Below are 21302 nucleotides of genomic sequence, written 5' to 3'. Positions count from 1 at the left end.
TGAGATGGGGGATTTGTTTGTTCATCTGCACAGTGGGACCCGATTGCCAGTGGAAGCCTGGGCAGGCTGTGGGAAGAGCTCAGTACCTGGTGTCCTGGCATCAATGGACATTGGGTGGCATGAGGTGAACGGACAGGCACTGGATCCTTTCCTGTTAACCTCGTTTCAGAGGGAGGATGAAACGGGACCCGGCATGAAGGCCTTGAAGTCGGAAATGGACAAGGAGGGAAACAGCCTGAAGGTAGCTGGAGGCGCTTAATAACGCTGCCCGGGACTGGTCCAGCAGCCATCCTGGGTTGGTGGGCTGTTTAAGATGTGGCCAGGGGACAGAATATTAACACCTCATGTTGGTAAGCACTGGGCGCCTTTGTTTTCTGTGTTTTTAAACCCATGATCATTTTGAAACATAGGCTTAGTGGGCAAGTAGCTTGTCCCTGTTTTACAGATGGGGAAACTGAGGCCCAAGGGACCGTGCTCACTGCTACCAGTTAATGGCAGAATAGAATGAGAGCTGGTTTTCTGCTGTGCAACCTTCAGAGCCAGACTCCTCCATCAAACCTAGGGGAAGACACATTCCCCCGGGATAAAAATCAGTACAATAAGTTTTTATTGTATGATATTTAAGGTGAAATAAAGTTGAAATAATGTTGAAGCAAAATTGAGCATGAGTCAATTCTTTTAATTGAAAGACATTTAAAATACATCACAGTTGTATGGTTCTTTAAGAAACACTGGGATGAATCTTTTGTAAAGTGGCAAACCCTTTTGTCATGCGAACAGTCACTCTTAATGTGTCTCGATGTGTAGATTTCATATTTTCAAATATCGTGTTTCTTGAAGCAGGTCACGCCTTTACGAAGGGTCTGGAAGGGAGAGGATTTGACAGTGGGGCACCTGCATTTACAGGCTTTGCATCAATTACAAATCTTGCAAATAAAATAAATCTCCTTAAAAAATAAGAATAACATTTGTAGCAATTTTTCTCTCCAATTTTCTTTCTTGGCATTTCAGTACGTTTATCGCTTGATCTCTATGAATCATAAATCACCCCATAATCACACAAAATGCCCCCAGGATATGTCTCCCTCAGCACTAACCCTCTCCCTTAATGACAGCAGCCAATTGTTGATTGTTTATTTGATCCAAGAGACACACCTCACCCAAAGGTTTTCAAAGAGCCAAGACGAAGGGCCAGCCTGGAGGTGGCTTCCCGCCCTGGCTCTGGTGGGCACCCTGGAGCTGGCGGCTGTGGTGAGGGCGGAGGCGTGTGTGGGCCCAGTCAGCCCAGCCTGGCCCCGAAACTGTAGGGCCTCAAGTGCGCTGCGGGCTTCTGCTAACTTAAAACAAATATGGTGCTTACTTCCCAGATGACCTTTTACAATGGGATTCGAAAAAGCCAGCGGAGTTTTATTTGAGAATGGTTTTAATCAATTTGGAAATTGATTTTGTTGGTTTGATGTCAAGCTGTCATTTTTCAGAGACCCGAGTCTTATCTATCAGCCTGAGGCTTTGTGGCAAACCCATTCCACAATAAAAGCAGCATTGGCCACCTGAGGAAGTGGGAGGAAGAATTGTGAGGCTTTATCTTCTCCTCTTTTTATGTCGATAAGTAACGTAGGGTCCTAAAGTCCCTCGTGGAGTCTTCGAAACCCAGCTCCTTGTGTTTAAACAAGATCCAGGAGCAGTCCTTAGTGTCCCTCTCCAGTGGTCGCTGCCTCTGCTGCATGAAAGTGACATGATGAGGTCCTAGGATTTCACAGGTAAAGGGAAGTCGGGTCAAACATCCCATTTTACAGGTAGAGAAATTGAGGCCTAGATGGGGAATGACATGAATTTCTAAGCTGCTAAATGATGGAGAAAAGGTTAAACGGCCTCAGACTCCTAGAACTACAGTTATGCCCTCTCCTTCCGGGGCATTCCTGCTGGTGACCTTAGACCTTGGGGAGGCTTGACAACAACCAAGCAGCAATGCCGCCCAGTCACCAGCTGCAGACAGCAATGCCACCCTAGTCACCAGCTCCAGACAGCAATGCCACCCTAGTCACCAGCTCCAGACAGCAATGCCACCCTAGTCACCAGCTCCAGGCAGCAATGCCACCCTAGTCACCAGCTCCAGGCAGCAATGCCACCCTAGTCACCAGCTCCAGGCAGCAATGCCACCCTAGTCACCAGCTCCAGGCAGCAATGCCACCCAGTCACCAGCTCCAGACAGCAATGCCACCCAGTCACCAGCTCCAGACAGCAATGCCACCCAGTCACCAGCTCCAGACAGCAATGCCACCCAGTCACCAGCTCCAGGCAGCAATGCCACCCAGTCACCAGCTCCAGACAGCAATGCCACCCAGTCACCAGCTCCAGGCAGCAATGCCACCCTAGTCACCAGCTCCAGGCAGCAATGCCACCCAGTCACCAGCTCCAGGCAGCAATGCCACCCAGTCATCAGCTCCAGACAGCAATGCCACCCAGTCACCAGCTCCAGACAGCAATGCCACCCAGTCACCAGCTCCAGGCAGCAATGCCACCCAGTCATCAGCTCTGAAGCAGCCCCCCCAGCTACAAACTGTGTCGTTAAACTCTAACTCGTCAGTTCTCTGATGTGACCTGGGTGCCTGGAACTGTAGTATTCATGGTACTATTTACCATATGATACTGGCAGAGGGGTTGATGGACAAGACAGATGGAGCAATGGCTGGGACGGATCGTGGATCTATCACAGTCTCCAACAGGGACACAGTCTCCCGGAGCAGCCATGGGGCGGCTGGGTCTGGGCTGCCCTCCCTGCTTCTTGCCAGTGTGCCCAGGTCCCGCACACCTGGCTGACAGGAGCCATCCTGCTGGCGGAACATGGTGGCCGGGGAGCTGCCCCAGCCTCTGGCAGTATGGGAAGCAGTGGGGGGCTGGCCTGTGCTATAGTCTGAATGTAGGTGCCTCTCAAATACGTACAGTGAAACCTAAGCCCCGTGTGATGTTAACAGGTGGGGCCTTCTGAGAGGAGGCTGAGTGATGCGGGCTCCTCCCTCGTGAACAGGATCCGTGCCTTATAATGGAGGCTGAAGGGCATGCCCAGCCCCTTTTCTTCTCCCACCCCCTCCCTACGTGAGGATGCAGCCCAGAGGTGCCATCTTGGAAGCAGAGGCTGGGTCCTCACCCACCGGCTGGGAACCAGCTGGTGTCTTCATCGTGGACTTTCCGGCCTCCAGAACGATAAGAAATAAATTTCTATTGTTTATAAATTACTAATTCAAAGGCATTTTGTGATAGAAACATGAATAGACTGGGACATCTGGGCTTCCTTTGTCACACCTGGTCAAAGCTGCCTGGTCAAGCTATGAATGCTGTCTCCAGCTCTCCCTTGAATCTGGAGACTGGCCTGTTTTATGTTTTCATCAGCCTCTGCCCGAATCCCTCATGAGACCTCCATCCAGAACCTGTACGGAGAAAGAATGAGGATGCTTTAAGGATCCTGTGTGACTTCTGGTAAAACAAGTGTACTAGTTCACAGTAGGGCTAACAGGTCACTTGATGCTTGGACCTGTGTGGATTCCTGCTGAAGCAAGTGTATAGGTCACATCAGAGCTAACAGGCCACTTGCATGCTTGGATGTCTTCCTCAGAACATCCTTGAATGCTCTTTCAAAAGCATCTCCCCCTACCCCTTTGTCTTTCTCTCTGTCTCTGACTTTGCACGTGAGTGTCCAAGCTCTCTCGGTGAGTAACAATGCCTGGAGATATTTGAGATCAACCATTCGTGCCTTGACCATGCCTGTAGTCAAGGCGGTGGGGCTGTGTGGGGCTGTGTGTGGCTGCATGACATGAGGGAGTTGGGGCTGGGGCTGGGGCTGGGGCTGAGGGCATCGGGCTGCTGGGATCTTGCCTCTAGATCCTGAGCATGCCAATGTCCATTCTTATTCAGCTCGTGTTAGTCAGGTGAGGACTGGGTAGCATCAAGAAAGTGTAGCCTGGAGTTTGAAACAGAACATGATGAAACTCTTCTCCCTGTTAGGATTTTATTTTATTTTATTTTATTTTATTGTACTCGAAGATCTCAAGCCAGGCAGTCACACAGTACGTTGTTCGGTTTATTGACGTTTCCTTCATCAGCACCCTGACAGGAAAAAGATGACTTGATTTCCATTTGTTTTCCTTGCCAAAATAATGAAGACTGTGATGAGTGTTTGTTTAATATGCACCCCCCACTTTTTTTGGAAGAGAAGAGCAAAGAAAGATCAAGAGAGGAGGAGCACCCATTACCTTCATGGAACAGGAGGGGCGCGGGCATAATAGATGCGGCAGCCGTGGGAACAGGAACCAGGGCACCAGGGAACCAGGGGACCAGGGAACCAGGGAACCAGGAAACCAGGGAACCAGGAAACAGTGAAACAGGAAACCAGGGAACCAGAGAACTAGGGGAACCAGGAAACCAGGGCAACAGGGAACCAGGGCACCAGAGAACAAGGGCACCAGGGTATCAGGGAACCAGAGAACCAGGGGAACCAGGAAACCAGGGAACCAGGGAACCAGGGAACCAGGGAACCAGGGAAACAGGGAACCAGGGGAACCAGGAAACCAGGGAACCAGGGAACCAGGAAACAGTGAAACAGGAAACCAGGGAACCAGAGAACTAGGGGAACCAGGAAACCAGGGCAACAGGGAACCAGGGCACCAGAGAACCAGGGCACCAGGGTATCAGGGAACCAGAGAACCAGGGGAACCAGGAAACCAGGGCACCAGGGAACCAGGGAACCAGGGCACCAGGGAACCAGGGGAACCAGGGAACCAGGAAACCAGGGAACCAGGAAACAGTGAAACAGGAAACCAGGGAACCAGAGAACTAGGGGAACCAGGGAACCAGGAAACCAGGGAACCAGGAAACAGTGAAACAGGAAACCAGGGAACCAGGGAACCAGGGGAACCAGGGAACCAGGAAACCAGGGAACCAGGAAACAGTGAAACAGGAAACCAGGGAACCAGAGAACTAGGGGAACCAGGAAACCAGGGCAACAGGGAACCAGGGCACCAGAGAACCAGGGCACCAGGGTATCAGGGAACCAGAGAACCAGGGGAACCAGGAAACCAGGGCACCAGGGAACCAGGGGAACCAGGGGAACCAGGAAACCAGGGGAACCAGGAAACCAGGGGACCCAGGGAACCAGGGAACCAGGAAACCAGGGAACCAGGAAAACAGGGAACCAGGAAAACAGGGACCCAGGAAACCAGGGAACCAGGGGACCAGGGAACCAGGGGACCAGGGAACCGGGAAACAGGGTGCTGAGGAGGCAGGAGCAGGGAGGAGGGAGGGAGGGAGGGAGAGAGGGCGTAAGGGAGGGAGGAGGAAGGAATGAAGAGAGAGAGGAAGGCAGGGAAGAGAGGGAGAGAGGGAGAGAGGGAGACAAGGAAGGAAGAAAGAAAGGAGGGAAGAAAAGTAAAGAAAGAAGGAAGGAAGGTAGGGAAAGAGGGAGGGAGGGAGGAAAGAGGGAAAGAAGGAAGGGATGGAGGGAGGGAGGGAGGAAGGAAAAAAGGAAGGAAGGGAGGAAGGGAGGTGAGGGAGGAGGAAGGAATAAAGAGAAAGGAAGCCAGGGAATGAGGGGAGAGGGAGGGAGGGAGAAAGGAAAGAAGGAAGGAAGAAAGGAAGGAAAAAAGAAGCAAAGGAAAGAGGGAGGGAGAGAGGAAGGAAGGAAGAAAGGAAGGGAGGGAGGGAAGGGAGGAGAGAGGAGGAAGAAATGAAGAGAGAGAGGAAGGCAGGGAAGGAGGGGAGAGAGGGAGGGAGGGAGAAAGGAAGAAAGAAGGAAGGGAAAGAGGGAGGGAGAGAGGAAGGAAGGAAGGGAAGAAGGGAAGGAAGGAAGGAAGGAAGAGGGGAAGGAGGGGGGAGGAGGAAGGAATGAAGAGAGAAAGGAAGGCAGGGAAGGAGGGGAGAGAGGGAGGAAGGGGGAAAGGAAAGAAGGAAGGAAGAAGGAAAGAAGAAAGGAAGGAAAAAAGGAAGGGAAAGAGGAAGGGAAAGAGGAAGGAAGGAAGGAAGGAAGGGCAATTGGTACTAAATTCTTGTAGTGCCCAGGCACTCTTCCCCTAGTGGGCAGGGCAGAGAGACTGTGAAAGGTGGAGATGAAGGAGAGCCATCATTTCACTCTTGAGAAAGGACGGAGCAGGCTGTGTGGAAGAGATGAGATCTGGGATAAATTGGAAAAGGTATCAAAAAATTAGGAGGGAAGAAATATTTTCAGCAAGTCTGCTACCACACTCCTCAAATTCAACTAAGAGTGGTGATTTAATGTAAGATTTATATTTTTATTAACTGGTGCTTTGTTTTCATGTTGATATTAAAAGTGCCTGTCTTCTGCATTACTTTTTATTTTTAGGGAGGAGAAATTTATTTTGCATTTTCCGGGTTCTTGGGAGCTGCTTCAGCACTCTAGAGTCTTTATGGATAAGATCCTGGGTCGCTGGCACCTGAGTGAATTAGTAGTGGGTTCCCTGATCTTCCCTCAGGTCAGAAAAGCTCCGCATCCAGCCCTATTAGCAGGGGCAGAAACAGACGCCAGGAGACACTGCCCACCTCCTGGGAATCGGAATCAGCCTTCACAGCACCAGGAGCCTGGGGTGGGCTGCTGTTTCTGTAAGGTTTTAAAAAGTCAGAGAGCACAGAGTTCTTCCGGAGCCTATTCTGACTCCTCCTGAGTTTTGTTCACGTGAGATAATATCCTCCTGGGAAAAAATCTTGATGGAAAGCCAAGGCCCCCCTGCTGGCTGCAAGAAACCGGAATTCGGCCTTTTCGGCGCGCACCCGGACACGGCGCTGGGATGAAGGCGCCCAGTTCATGCCCAGCCAGGGCCTGCAGGGACAACGGGGTGAGCGCGGAAACGCTGGCATGGGTGTGGGTTTGGGGAGGCGGGAGGAGGCTTACTCCGGGGTTCTCTGTATCTGTGCTGGCCACACAGATGCGCTGTGTCCGCTGAGATGTCGTCTCTCGGACAGCGGTCTGGCGCCGCCGAGCACCAACGAGCCAACGAGGAAGGACACGAGTCTCAGGTGCTTCCTTCCGAGTGTGGGTCGCTTTCTTATTTCGGCCAAAACAGAACTTCACGTTGGAAAATAGCACTAATTCGGGCTGTATCCAACCGGCACGCGCAGCTAGGAAAGGCTTCCTTCCGCGGGGGCTTCACTGGTTTTCCTGATGTGCAAGCCACCTGCAGATGTGTAGAGCCCGGACTCTGTGCGACGTGGGTGTGGGACTCCACGTGTGCCGCGTGACGTCTCCGTGTGGCTCCCTGTGGCTCGTGGGCTGGCGGGGCACTGCTTATCGCCCCTTCTGTTTCACCCTGGGCATCGTTCCTGTCACGAATCTCCCCCTGCCCTTGCTCACCAGACCCCCCGGGGGACTTGGCCACTGTTCCCCGCCGCCGGCTACCTGCAAAGCCTGGGTCGAAGGTGCTATGTCAGCAAGGCTGGGGCTGCGCGCTCAGCTACAAAGCCCTGAACTGGAAACTGGCTGCTCAGGGCGCAGAGGGGGACAGGAAGTGTCCTGCCAGGGGCCCAGGGCTCTGGGCTGTGGCTTCCATCCCATCGCTGTGTTCTTTCCTGCTTAACTTTTGTAGGTCTGAGCCTCAGTTAGTTTATCTACAAAATGAGGAAGGTTAGGTCACATTATCTGCCAGGACTTATGGAGCAATGATGGGTGTGTTTACAATTTTAAAGTTCAAGGTGCCTGGACTTTATTTTCAGTAATTCGATGGATTTGCTTTTCAAAAACAACTAGCTTTGGTACACCACACTTAACATGCCAGATAGATGAAAAGAAAAAAAATTCTTTTACTGAATGGCCGAGTTTGAGGGAAAATAACAGAATTTATCAGAGTCAGAAACACGTTGAGAAAATAAAGGTGCATTTAAACTGGCACTCTTCCCCGAGGTATCTGCTAGCACCCATGGTCCTGGTCATCCGACTTTCAGCGGACCTCACTCTCGAAGGAGACGGAGCCTGAGGCCTGTGCGGGGCGGCCAGGGCACAGTACCCGAATCAGTGGAACAGAAACTTCTGCCCACTGATGGTGGCCTCAGCCTTGGCTCTGAGAGCAGTGCAAGTAAAGTCTTCCCTCAGAATTCCCAGCCATAAGCCTGCGCTCACGGGCTTTGAGGTCCAAATGTACACTAACTATATGATTGTTAAGAAAGACAAAAATTTAACTTGAAGCATCCCAGAATTGATAGTACTCCTGAGTTCTTGGAAGAAACAAAATAAAATCCTCCTTGAAGAAACTCACTTTAAATCCTCAAAGAATTATGAAAGATAAAATACCAAGACACATGGGCTCATAATCAAAACCAAGAAACACACAGGAAATAAGACGTGAGGCAAAAAGTCAACTGCAAAGAACTGAAGATACAGAAAGCATTAGATACAGAACAGAAAAGAAGAATGTTTAACACATTGAAGGAAATACACGAGGATATTAAAAGTCTGAGAAAGCAGCATAAGGTTGTCAAAATTGACCAGGAAGATTTCAAAACCACTCAAAAGCCCTAGAATTTTTTAATATGTATATGAAATTAGACTCAACAGAAAGGGTAAGCAGCACATTTGATACAACTGCAGAGAGAATCAAGGAGCTGGAAGATAAAGTTGAAGAAATTATTCAGAATGCAGTTCTGGAAGAAAAAAGAGAAAAATAGGAAATAAATATTAAGAGGCTTTAAGGATCAAGTGAGGATGATTGCCACATTTATGATGATAATTACAGAATAGTTACGGGAACAAGTGGAGACAGATGGGGAATTTTCCAGAATAGACAAAGTATATCCATCCTAAGAGCTGGGAAGCTCCCCAAATTATGGATTTCTTATAGATATAGAGAATCAAATTTTAAAATTTATCTGGAAATTCAAAGAAAATAGAATGCCCAAATCATGTTTGAAAAAGATGAGTAAAGTTGGAGGAATCACACTACTCAATTTTAAGACATTGTAAAGATGTGGTGATGAAGGAAGTATGCTATCACAGAAAGGATGCCGTCACAGAAAGAATGCCGTCACAGAAAGGATACCGTCACAGAAAGGATACCGTCACAGAAAGGATACCGTCACAGAAAGGGTACCGTCACAGAAAGGGTACCGTCACAGAAAGGATACCGTCACAGAAAGGATGCCGTCACAGAAAGGATGCTATCACCGAAAGGATGCCGTCACAGAAAGGATACTATCACAGAAAGGATGCTATCACCGAAAGGATGCTATCACAGAAAGGATGCTATCACCGAAAGGATATCTATATGTGCTGTCACAGAAAGGATGCCCACCGGAGAGTCTAGAAATAAACTCACACAAACATGACCATTTGGGTTTTTACACTGTTACAAAGGCAATTCAAAGAAGAAAAGATGTCTTTTCGACAAATTGTGTTTGAACAATTGGATAACCATATGCAAAAAGTTAAATAAAAAGAGCTTTGACTTGACACTCACAGCTTATACAAAACGGAAACAGATCTTAGGACTAAATGTAAAACACAAAACTATAAAATGTTTAGAAAAAAGTGTAGAAGAAATTCTTTGTGACCTGGGATTAGTCAAAGAACTGGTAGATATGACTCCAAAAGCATACTTCATCAATCAAATGAAATAATTATTGGACTTAATCAAAAGTAAAATTTTCTCCTTTGCAAGAGACACTGCTGAGTAGACTTAAAAGGTAACCTATAGACTGAGAAAAAATATTTGCAAGTCACATATCCAATGAAAGACTGTTATCCAGAGTCTATAAAGAACTCTGAAAACTCAACAGTAGGAAATAAGCAACCAGTATAAAAGTAGGCAACAGACGTGTCACCAAAGAGAATATGTGGAAAGCACCTTAGCACGTGAAAAGATATTCAGCATCATTAGTCCTTTCGGAGATGCAACTTAAAGCCACTGCGAGATACAACTGCATGCCTATGAGCAGGCCTGCAATAAAACAGGTTCCAAACACTCAGTGCTGGCAAGGATGGGGAGCATCGGGAGCACTGGTGCGTTACGGATGGAAATAAAAAATGCTACAGATGCCCTGAAGACTGGTCCCTCCTGACAAAGTTAGCCACATGACCTGCAAATCAAAAAGAAATAAACACGATAGAAATGGAAAAAAGACATGAACAAGTGTTTCACAGAAGACATGAATAGAAACATGAATAGCAAAAGGAGAAGAAAAGAAAGAAAGAAGATAATCTCTTTAGCAATCAGAAAAATATGAATTAACCTTTCTCCTGTTTACAAAGAAAAAAGTGCAGCTTACTGCCAGCGCTCATTTGCTTTTACATAAACACGCTCTTTGAGGCTGAAGCAAATCTGACTGAGTTTCAATATGAAAATCAAATAGAAAAACTGTTTTTGGAATTATTTCTAAACAAAACTAACATCAGAATAATCTGAATCATGAGAATCATCTATTTCGGAAGACTTGGATTCATCAAACAAATCTTTGGCCAACAACCGTTTAAGAACAGTGTTAACATCACATGTAGGAATGCTACATTTTCTAGGATTTGACATTTTCAGCAATCAAGAATTATTATATTTTGCAAAGGGAAATACCACTACTAAAAACATAATGGTGGCAAAGGTGTCCTGGGGTAAATGCTGCAACCACAAGTACCACCAGCGAGTATTATTGGGGCAAATGGGAAAAGAGAGATAATAATTCATAGGTACCTGATTAACAAAATTAAACAACCTGACAATAAAAAATGTGAGGATACAGAGTAAGTGGAACTCTCACAACCTCATGTCATGAGAATTCAGTAGTAAAAGTCCCTTTTGAAAGCCACTTGGTATTATCCACTCTACTGGGTTGAATAATGTCCCTCCAAAAAATATGTGTGTCTTAATCCCTAGTAACTATGAATGTGACCTTATTCACAAAAGATTCACAAAAGGATCTTTGCGGATGAGTCAAGTTAAAGATCTTGAGATGAAATCTTCCTGGATTTGGAGTCCTGAATCCAATGACCAGTGCCCTTAGGAGGACAGGACACAGTGACACAAGGGAGAAGCCATGTAAAGATGGAGGCAGAGGTTGCAGTGATGCAGCCACCAGCCAAGGGATGCTTGGAGCCACCAAAAGCTGGAAAAGGCAAGGAAGGATTCTCCTCTGGAGCCTTCAGAGGGAGCACAGCTGCTGACAGCTTAATTTCTGACTCTGTATCCAGAACTGAGAAACAACACATTTCTGTTCTTGGAAGCTACTTACTTTGTGACGATTTGTTATGGCTGCCCCCAGGAAACTACACCTCTACTCACGTTGAAGATTTTTGCATTCCTAATAATACAGTGATTCTACTTTTAGGTAAAGTCCCATTTTGAAGAACACTGACTATTTTTTCTTTTCTTTTTTTTTTTTAACTGTGTTCCACTGTGTATTGGCTTTGCTATAAAGAACCATCTGAGACTGGGTAATTTATAAAGAAAAGAGGTTTAATTGGCTCATGGTTCTGTGAGCTGTACAGGCTTCGGCTTCTGGGGAGGCCTCAGGAAACTTATCATCATGGTGGAAGGCAAAGGGGAAGCAGGCATGTCTTCACATGTCTAGCAGCAGAGAGAGAGCAAGTGGGTGGGGAGGTGCTACACCCTTTAAACAAGGAGATCTCAGGAGAACTCACTCACTATCACAAGAACAGCAAGGGGGAAGTCCACCCCATGATCCAGTCACCTCCCACCAGTTCCCTCCTCCAACACTGGGAATTAAATTCAACATGAGATTTGGGTGAGGACACAGATCCAAACCATATCACACCGTAAGAAAACATTTCACATTACAATTCAGTACTGAGATATACACAATGTATTACAAATGCATTGAAGAAAAATTAGAAAACAAATGTCACTCATAATTTTACCATCCAAAGATGACCAGTATTGATGTATTTTCCTATGGTCTTTTGCAGACACGCCCACCTACCCACAGGATGGGTTCCTACATCCCATTCGTGACCTGCCTTTGTCCCCTAATAAATTATCGTAAACATTTTCTTACCAATAACATGTCTATGATTGTATTTCACTGTATGGACATTTTAAAAATTTCTTTCTTCATTTTTGCTCTTAAAAATAACTTTGATAAATATCGCGCCAATATCTTTTTGAGCTTGTCTTTTTATCCTTACCTTTGTTGACAGATGGTCACAGGACGGCTGCCTCAGCTCCAAACAGCAACATCTGAAGGAGAAAGGTAGGAGACAGGTGCAGAAGGAAGCTTTCTCTCTGGGAAGATACTCCTTTTCATCTGGGAAAAATATTTTCCATAGCATCCCCTGGCCAAGTTTCTCCTACACTTTATGGCAAGAGTTGGGCACACAGGCACACACGGCCTAACCTACTGGCATGGAAAGGGAGCCCCATGGCTGTTTCTGAGCAACCACGGTTTATCCCCCGGCTTGAGGCAGGAACTGGCCTCCTCTGAGGTTGGGGACTTTTCAGCCAGTATCTGAGCAAAACTGAGGCTGCACTAGCAGAGAAGACCTGAGAGAAATGGCTGCTGGGCAGGCAACAACACTGTCTGGGTAGTGGTGCATGACCCGGCGGCTTGCAAGCTCCTTCCTCCTCACTTAGTGGTCTTCACTCAAAGGAAAACATCTTTCCAAGTTTAAATTGTATTAAAGGTCTCCTTCCTCTCTCCTAGTCTACAGTAACGCTCTTACCCAATCCATTCCAAGTTTAAATTGTATGAAAGGTCTCCTTCCTCTGTCCTAGTCTATAGCAACACTCTTACCCAATCCATTCCAAGTTTAAATTGTATTAAAGGTCTCCTTCCTCTTTCCTAGTCTACAGTAACGCTCTTACCCAATCCATTCCAAGTTTAAATTGTATTAAAGGTCTCCTTCCTCTCTCCCAGTCTATAGCAACGCTCACACCCAATCCTGAGTCCCAGGTGTTTTACCGTTCTCTGGCATGATCAGCCAGCTGCCTGGTAGCCAGCTGGTTACACTGGACCACTTCCATTGTGGACAGGGCAGTGCTTTATTATTACTGGAATTGACAGTTACTCCAGATACGGATTTGCCTTCCCTGCATGCAATGCTTCTGCCAAAACGGCTATCCGAGGACTTACAGAATGCCTTTCCCACTGTCATGGTATTCTACACAGCATTGCTTTTGACCAAGGAACTCACCTTGTAGGAAAGAAGGGCTGCAATGGGCCCACGCTCACGGATTCCCCAGTCTTACCATGTTCCCACCGTCCTGGAGTGGCTGGCTTCATGGAACAGAGGAATGGCCTTTTGAAGACTCAGTTACCATGCCAGCCAGGTGGCAGCCCCTTGCAGGGCTGGGGCAAGGTTCTTCCCAAGGTGCTTTAAATCTGCATCAGATTTTATGTAGTGCTGTCTCTCCTGGCCGGGATTCACGGGCCCAGGAATCAACAGGGTGGAAATGAGAGTGGCACCACTCAGTGTTACCCCTAGTGACCCACTGGCAACATTTTTGTTTCCTGTCCCCAACACCCCTGCTGGCCAACAGGTGTCAGTTCCCAAGGGAGAAATGCTTCCACCAGGAGACACAGCAGTGATTCCATTGAACTGAAAGTGAGGCCTGCCTTGGACTCCCTGTGCCACAGAACCAGCATGCGAAGATGGGGGTGACTGTACCGGCTGGGGCGACTCTCATGTACAGGCCTCCCTCATTTCTGCTGCAGGACATCCAGGATAAGCCTGGACATCACCCAGACATTCATCTTCTGGGGAAAGGGAGCATGTTTTCAGTTGCGTGCAGCATACTTGTGTTTCGGGCAGCAGTGTGACTTTGCTGCTGTCTTGATCTGGAGACGAGTATAAGACTCAGGCAATGTGGAGGGTGGCAGGTCCAAGAGTAGACTGAGACAGTCAGGCTTGGGAGTCCCCTGGCCAGGCCACCATGCTCGGTTACGCGGTGCTGCCGTGAACGTATTCTGTAAATGAGACGAACACCCCCCATTACCCTGTCGTAGAGGAGATCATCCTGCATAACCTCGTCGGGGTGGGGAGGCTGACTGGTCAGCAGAAAGGCCTGGAGAGGGGAGCCGAGGTCCCCCTGCAGAGGAGGAAACTCCTGGGAAGGGCCTGATCCTGCCTCAGTTTCCAGCTGCCCAGAAAATCAGACTTACCCACTAGGCCCCAAAACTGTGCAGGACGGGTTCTTCACACTCCCCTCCCCTCTCTCTGTCTCCCTTGAGATATATGTGGATATAGACTTGGTTTTATTTCCCTGGGGAAATCTGATCGATACAGGTACTACATTCGGCGTCCAGTCCATGACTCAGGAAGTCAATTCTCCGTCCCTTCGCTCTCCTTCCATCCGAGGCCAAACGCATTCACTTCACGCTCTTGGAATGTTTTCATGTAAAAAGAGTGCCATATCAGGATTAATAGTTTTATGTATATAAACTAGTAATATATAGAGAAAATAACACTTCAGGATCAGATACAGTTGCCTGAACTCTGTGGCTAAGTTAAGCCCCACACTGTATGGCATCTGCCATGCCTCACACCACAGGCCACGTTGGACCCCAGTGCTTTGGTATAGGAGGATGTCCTCTGCCTCCACAGTGAGCCATGGCCCCACCCTAGGTTTCAGAGCAGAGAAATCGCCCTGACAACTAAGCAGCTTCTGACACCCAATTCTGTGGAAGATCCAATCACAGGGATCCTGCCAATTGAGGAATGATGGGAAGTCTCTGCTCCAGGTTACTCGCGCCTGGTACAAAACAGATGCTCAGTAGATGGTGGCCATCACACTAGCAGCAGGTGCTGTAGGGCACCAACACCTCAGAGACAGGGGATGGAAAACATATTATGTATTAAGAGCTCACAGATTTTGCAAGACTCTCCTTACCAAATTTCTACTGAAACTGTCAGCATGACTGTTTTAGACCATTTGTGCTGCTATAACCAAATACTATAGACTGGGTAATTTATACACAGTAGAAACTTATTGTCTTAGCTCTGGAGGCTGGGAAGTCCAAGATCAAGACACCAGCAGGTTCCAAGTCTGTGAGGACATGCTTTTGTGTTTCCAAGATGGTGCCTTCAATGCTGTGTCCTCACATGACCAAAGGGCTGGGTTGGTGGTCCCTCGAAGTTGTCTGTTAAATTTATTTATTTATAGCATCGTGGAGTCACCAAGAGAGTGAGGCTGGAGCTCCACCATCTCTGTGGTTTTGTCGTCACGGGGTACAGCTTTCTCACAGACTGGATCAAAGACTCACCACACTTTAAAAAAAAAAGAGGGAAAGGCAAAAATCAGGCAAAAATTTCAGATACGTTGACACCTGGGGGCTGGAGCAGCTCCACCTACATCCTCCACAGCTGGTGGCCTCAGCTTCTCCTGACAAATGCTTCATTCACTCTAGTGGCTGTGGCCCCCCAGGGCTGCCACATGCCTGAAGCTGAGCCATGGAGAGCCCGTCTCTGCAGCAGAACCCGCAGCAGTGGGCGCAGGGGAGCCAGTGACACTCAGACCTGGGGCCACGCAGGAATGGGCCAAGCTAGCTCCCTCCAGCCCTTTTATAAAGTTACTAGTCCCATTCATGAGGGCAGAACCCGCAGGGCCTACCACCTCCTAAAGGCCCCACCTCTTACTACTGCCGCGCTGGGGATGAAGTTTCAATGTGAATTTTGGAGGAGACACAAACATTCAAACCATAACAGCAGCTTAGAAAGAAATACTACAACTGGACCTCCGTGCTCAAGAACCCAAGGCGCTTCTCATAAGTATTGTCATAATAATGTCCAATACTTGTGTATCTCATAATGGTTTACAAAACCTTTTCACATAGTCTCACTTAATTTTCACAAATACCTAAAATAGAAAATTACACTCCAATTGATTATATTGTTATCCATTTCTGTGGGTCAGGAACAGGGATGGGGTACAGCACAGATGGCTCCACCCTGCTCCCTGAAGTCTGGGCTTCAGCAGGACGACAGGAAGCTTGGGGGCTGGACCCCCCCGAAGGCTCATCCACCCACAGGCCTTGCGGGGGGTGATAGCTGCCAGCTAGGACTGCAGCTGGGGCTGTCACTAGAATGTTACACGTGGCATCCCCCTGTGTCAAGACTTCCTTACAACATGGTGGCTGAGTTCCAAAGGTGAACGTTGGGAGAGACATGGTGAGACAGAGAGACAGAGACCGAGGGTGCGAGGCGGCACTGTGGTCATGGGGAGGGAGAGAAAGAGAGAGTGCACGTGCCAGGCAGGGGTCCACACATTTCATGACCTAGATTGGCAGTCCATTGGTTGGGGCAGTAAGGAGCCCCTCAGTGGGAGGGGAGCCCCTCAGTGGGAGGGGCATTGTGGGAGACCATGCGGTTGGACTAAATATACCAGTGTAGCCATCACTGGAAAATGCAACCTGTCACATGCATAAATTAGGAAAATAAAGCTTTTGATGTTAAGTGACTTGCCAGGGTCACGCGGCTGAGTGTCAGGATGAGACGGGATTTCCGGCACCAAGACGACCGGTTGTCAGGCTATTCCATGTCCACCAGGCATCGCGCCCTCTGAGAGTGGCTGTCGGCCTCCTTTGGGTGTTTCCCTCCTCTGCCCTTCGACACTACGGCCTGCACCCCATCACCCCATCTCCTTCCTCATCATCAGGGGCTGCCTCTATTGTTGAGTTAAAGGTGCGTGAAAGCCAGGTGGGAGCTGTCACCAGCTGCACAGGCTTCTAATGTGCAAGTCTGAAGCAGGACCTAGGAGCCCACCTGGGTGGAGATCCTGGCTGTCACCTTCCGGTTGGATGACATGGGGCATATTTTTTGAGCCCTCGTGGCTCTGGTTCATCACTGAAAACTGGGGAAGATTTCATGAGTTTATTGTGAGAATGAAATGAGTTAATATACGCAGAGTCCTAGGACAGTGCCTGGTGCGTGGTAAGTGGCATTATTATGATTTTATTACCATTAATTATTACACTCTCTCCTTATACATGTTTCGATCAACTCCCAGGGGCTTCCCTCATGTTCCACAAGCTCTGTGTTGTAACTGCTGAACGAGTTTACAGCCACGGACTTTCAGGGACCTCAACAGCCCAAGCAGGCCTCGTTTACCTCAGTATTTTCTCTCTCCGGCGAAAGCCCCGGTGGGCAGTGAGTCTGGTGTGGCACAGCAGGGAGAAAAGAAGCCCACCCACTCCTGCAACAGCAAGGCCAGCGCTGGGGTCTCCGGCCTGAGCCTGGGGGCCTGGGCTTCAGTTGTTTCTGTGACCTGAGTGTGCAGGTCACCTGGGCTCTGTGCTCCGTCTCTGCCTGGCGAGGCTGGCGTGGTCCCGGGCCTGAGTGTCACTGGCTCTCCTGTACCCACTGCTGCTGGTTCTGCTGCAGAGATGGGCTCTCCATGCCTCAGTTTCAGGCACGTGGCAGCCCCCGAGGGCACAGCTGCCGGAGTGAATGAAGCATTTTTCAGGAGAAGCCGAGGCCACCAGCTGTGGAGGGCGTCCCGTGGAGCTGCGCCAGCCCCCAGGAGTCAACTTATCTGAAATTTTTGTCCTTCCCCTTCTCCTTCTCCTTCTTCTTCTTCTTTCTTCTTCCTTTTTTTAAAGTGTGGTGAGTCTTTGATCCACTCTGTGAGAAAGCTGCACTGCGTGACGACAAACCCACAGAGAGAGTGGAGCTCCAGCCTCGCTTTCTTGGTGACTCTGCGATGCTAGAAATAAACAAATTTAACAGACGCCTTCGAGGGGCCACCAACCCAGCCGCACACTGAGTCGGCACGAGTGTGTGCCGGGCAACGCGCTCAGCTCTGCGGGGCTGCGTCACCAGCTGCACTGCGTCTCCCCCACTTTCATACACTGCAGCCCTCACCCCCAGGACCTCCCAATGGGACCGCATTTGGCAGTGGGGTCTTAAAGAGATCGTTGGGTAAAATGAAGCCATAGGGGTTGGCCCTCATCCAGTAGGACCAGTGTCCTTATAGGAAGAGGAGGTTAGGACAGACACACACAGGGACGGCCGGGCGAGGACACAGGCAGAGGGCAGCATCCAGAAGCCCAGGAGAGGAGCCTCCGGAGGAACCAGCCCTACTCACACCTTGGTCTTGGACTTCCGGCCTCCAGAACCACGAAGAAGTAAGCCACCCAGTCTGCGGAATTTTGTTATGGCAGGTTGTAACAAGGCTTTCTGAAAAATACAAGCATTTCAGGCAGAGGCCCTTCACAGCCTGTTACGCAACCACTCAAAGTGCATGCCTTGTCTTTTGCAATTTCCTCAGAATTGGTTATGTCACTGGCACTCACGCCTAGGCCGTCCCGAGGGGCCAGCCCCGGGCACGGTCTCCCTTTCCCTGGGTGTGGGTACTGCCGGTGTGGGAACTGGCTGCTGGCGTGGGAACTGGCTGCTGGTGTGGGAACGGCTGCTTGTCCCAGTGGTGCCCACCTGTGTCCACACTTCAAGGCCACCTGGGCCTGGAGATGTCACTAAGGGTTGACCCGGAGACGCCGACCTCAGGGACCTGGGAGGCTGCACACTGGCCGTGTTTGAAGTGACCCTCATGTCACCCAGGTCAAGTGCCACGGGCCCCACACATCCTCTTCTTCCCTGTCTCCCAGCTGCAGGCCCGGACTGGATGGCTTTGGCTAAGGAACCAACGCAGGTGGAGAAGGAGGCTGACGATGGAGCCCAGGCACTCCAGCCTTGAAGGAGGAGAACCTGACCCTGAGCCTGCATGGCAGCCGTGCGGGGGGACTTCGGGGGGTTTCCCCTTTGCTTCCATCCAAAGAAAGTGCCCCACGTTTGAAAGCCTCTGTGCTGAATGCTCCCAATGCCCTCCGATTCCATCTAGGTCGTCCCTACCACCAAGGCAGGTGTGTGAATTCACCCGCACAGCTCACCGTCCTGGGAGGGTGACGCTGGAGGAGGGACGTCCCTACCATCAAGGCAGGTGTGTGAATTCACCCGCACAGTTCACCGTCCTGGGAGGGTGACGCTGGAGGAGGGACGTCCCTACCATCAAGGCAGGTGTGTGAATTCACCCGCACAGTTCACCGTCCTGGGAGGGTGACGCTGGAGGAGGGACATCCCTACCATCAAGGCAGGTGTGTGAATTCACTCGCACAGTTCACCGTCCTGGGAGGGTGACGCTGGAGTAGGGATGTCCCTCCGGGGTCTCTTCAGCATCTGCCCTTCTCCACCACATAAGTTCGTCAGTGAGGGGGAGTCACGCAGCTGGGAGCATGGAGTGCAGTGCGCAGGCCCCTTGCCCGGGGCCAGGCTCCCTCTGCCTCATTGCCGCTAAGAGGCTGCCCTTTCTGGCCTGGACATCTCCTGGGACTGTGGGCCCTCACAGCCCTGGGCAGTCTGGACAGGACGGACTGTGCTTCTCATGGGGCAGCACTTCCTCCACTGCAGACGCTGCCACCTGCCCCCTCCCTCCCTGCTGGAAGCCTCTGGTCTCCAGGCCTCTCCTGGCTGTCTCTGGCCCTTGCCTCATTCACACCCAGCTGTGAGCATACCTGCTGGCTCAGCCCAGAGCCCCTGTCTTCTCAGCTTTGCACCCCAACTCCTGAATTTGGTTTTCAGCTGGATTTCCTTAGGCTCAGGACTTAGCCAGGACTTGTGGACTCTCCTGCATATTTCTAGTACATGCACCTGCACAGGTTCGGGCCCTCTGACCACGAAGAGTGAATGAGACTGGGAGGGGTCATTACACATTGCAAGCAAAGCCATAAACACACACACCAGCCAGGTGCAAAAAGAGTTAAACTAATTAGCTTATTCCCTTGGGGAGAGTTTAAGCAGAAGTAGGAAAATAACTGAAGTACCAAACTGTCAGACAATGAATGGGTCTGGAATAATGTGAAAATTACTGCAACTGTCTGAGAGGCTATGTAGTTGGTGTTGTTATTAGTGGGGAGCTTTTTCCTCCACAGAGCAAGATACTAAATGGATGTCATTTCTGGGCACTTACATAATTGGCTAAGGCTGGTCTCAGCGGAAAACAGCCGCTGGCCCTGTCCACACACACACGCGGACCCACGGGGCCACTTGGAAGTCGGACGCTCCTGGCCTGACACTGCATTGTCTCCAGGTGGGACTGTGGAGCCACTTCCCTGGCCTGCCCCCTCTGTGGACAGGTGCTTGCTCATTTCCTGTGGACAGGAATCTCATTCAGACACTGGGCTCTGCTCCTTACCTCCTCCTCCAAGTGAGCTCAGCCGCTCCACACAGATGGGCAGCACTGTCCTCACCAGAGGGAACAGTTCGATTCGGGAGGGAGTTTGAGACCCACCACACCCCTTGCCCAGGCTTGATGCGAGTGAGGTGGAGAGCCGCCCACTGACCTGGAGTTCACCCCTCTTCTCCCTGAATTTCCTTTTCTTTATTCCCTTCCCAGTTTAACCTCTCCCTCTTGGATTCAGCATCACCTAGGAGAGACTCTGGTGCTCTTTTAAATACCTTTCCTTTCTGCCTTTGCCACTACACAGCAGAATGAGAAACACAGCAGAGAGGGAATGGTCAACCCCAGAGCACTGGCCACTTTGGGAAAATGGACATCTCCTCTCCTCTGGCTGAAGGAAAGGTGAGCAGACTGGCTGCAGTGAGGCTTCCCAGAGGTGCCAGGCAGGCAGGTGTGCTTCTCCAGGGTAGAGACAGAGTGTGGCTCAGCTCTCCCTGAATCAATGATCTCACCCAAGTTCTCCTTCATTTTTCCTGGACACAGTAAGAAGACACGGTGTTGCCCCAGGCTATGTAGCCCACAACAATTTTCCATCCAAATGCATGAGCCCGGGTTCCCGATGAAGACTTGGCTTCTCCTGAGCCCGGGGGTCCTGGCTGCTCTGGTGCCAACCCCTGGGTGTCTTTGAGCTGCAGAGGGCTTGCCACGTGCATCCTCCTCCCTCTGCCTGAGCCACGAAGACCAGGCTGGACTATGTTCCACAAAGACTTTTTCCCCTCAGGGGTCTCCTCCCAACAACACTTAACCAAGCTTTGTATTCAACAAGGAACACATTCCGCCTCCACCAAACCTCATTGAAAACAGAGAGGTGCATGGATAACCATGGCCAAATCATAACTGGTATGCATGCTCATGGTTTTCTTTGAAAATCTAACTGTCCTTTAAAAATCTTTCCCACATGAAGAGCCACAATAAATGACAAATACAAATTATAAGTTTATAAGGAAAGTATGCTAGTAAGTGTAAGCAAATTAAAAGGATGTCCCATAGGGTGGTAACAACTGATTCAGTGTTGTCAAATGTTTTGGATCCCCGTCGGTGGTAGGAAACATACTTTGTGGCCTGCCTCAGTAGACTCATGCATATGCACAAAGATGAGTGAGGTGAAGCTCACCTTTACTGTGACACATTTCA

The 21302-nt window shown here is 49.6% G+C and overlaps 2 long non-coding RNA genes across 8 annotated transcripts, besides 3 other annotated features; one reads left to right on the top strand and one right to left on the bottom strand.

Moving 5' to 3' along the window:
• Window positions 1–658: 658 nt before the first annotated feature.
• LINC01070 (long intergenic non-protein coding RNA 1070) lies at window positions 659–4326 on the bottom strand. The gene is made up of 3 exons (NR_108094.1): window positions 4251–4326; window positions 3304–3428; window positions 659–1746 (listed from the first exon to the last, which is right to left on the bottom strand). It is a non-coding gene; the product is annotated as a long intergenic non-protein coding RNA 1070 (long non-coding RNA).
• Window positions 1701–2200: an enhancer, noted in NCBI's record as "H3K4me1 hESC enhancer chr13:112853773-112854272 (GRCh37/hg19 assembly coordinates)". NCBI's record gives its function as "activates a minimal SCP1, AML or CMV promoter by ChIP-STARR-seq in primed H9 embryonic stem cells {active_cell/tissue: H9 hESC(primed)}" and the evidence as "EXISTENCE:reporter gene assay evidence [ECO:0000049][PMID:30033119]".
• Window positions 4327–5970: 1644 nt separating the features above from the next.
• Window positions 5971–21170, top strand: LOC105370370 (uncharacterized). Of its 7 annotated transcripts, none has more exons than XR_944283.1 (7): window positions 5971–6266; window positions 6483–6842; window positions 12140–12192; window positions 18541–18795; window positions 19861–20018; window positions 20416–20510; window positions 20652–21170. It is a non-coding gene; the product is annotated as an uncharacterized LOC105370370 (long non-coding RNA). The 7 variants fall into 7 exon arrangements; XR_944286.1 differs by adding an exon at window positions 17536–18060 and having other exon boundaries at window positions 18541–20018; XR_944288.1 differs by having other exon boundaries at window positions 5971–6182; window positions 18541–20018.
• Window positions 11118–12317: an enhancer, noted in NCBI's record as "MED14-independent group 3 enhancer chr13:112843656-112844855 (GRCh37/hg19 assembly coordinates)". NCBI's record gives its function as "activates an origin of replication core promoter dependent on BRD2, BRD4, P300/CBP and CDK7 cofactors, and independent of MED14, by STARR-seq in HCT116 cells {active_cell/tissue: HCT116}" and the evidence as "EXISTENCE:reporter gene assay evidence [ECO:0000049][PMID:35650434]".
• Window positions 16993–18192: an enhancer, noted in NCBI's record as "BRD4-independent group 4 enhancer chr13:112837781-112838980 (GRCh37/hg19 assembly coordinates)". NCBI's record gives its function as "activates an origin of replication core promoter dependent on BRD2, P300/CBP, MED14 and CDK7 cofactors, and independent of BRD4, by STARR-seq in HCT116 cells {active_cell/tissue: HCT116}" and the evidence as "EXISTENCE:reporter gene assay evidence [ECO:0000049][PMID:35650434]".
• Window positions 21171–21302: the final 132 nt, after the last annotated feature.

The sequence above is a fragment of the Homo sapiens genome, chromosome 13, assembly GCF_000001405.40.
Source record: "Homo sapiens chromosome 13, GRCh38.p14 Primary Assembly".
Taxonomy (NCBI): Eukaryota; Metazoa; Chordata; class Mammalia; order Primates; family Hominidae; genus Homo; species Homo sapiens.
Note: the sequence above shows the minus strand (reverse complement) of the source record. Positions and strands in the feature narration are given on the sequence as shown.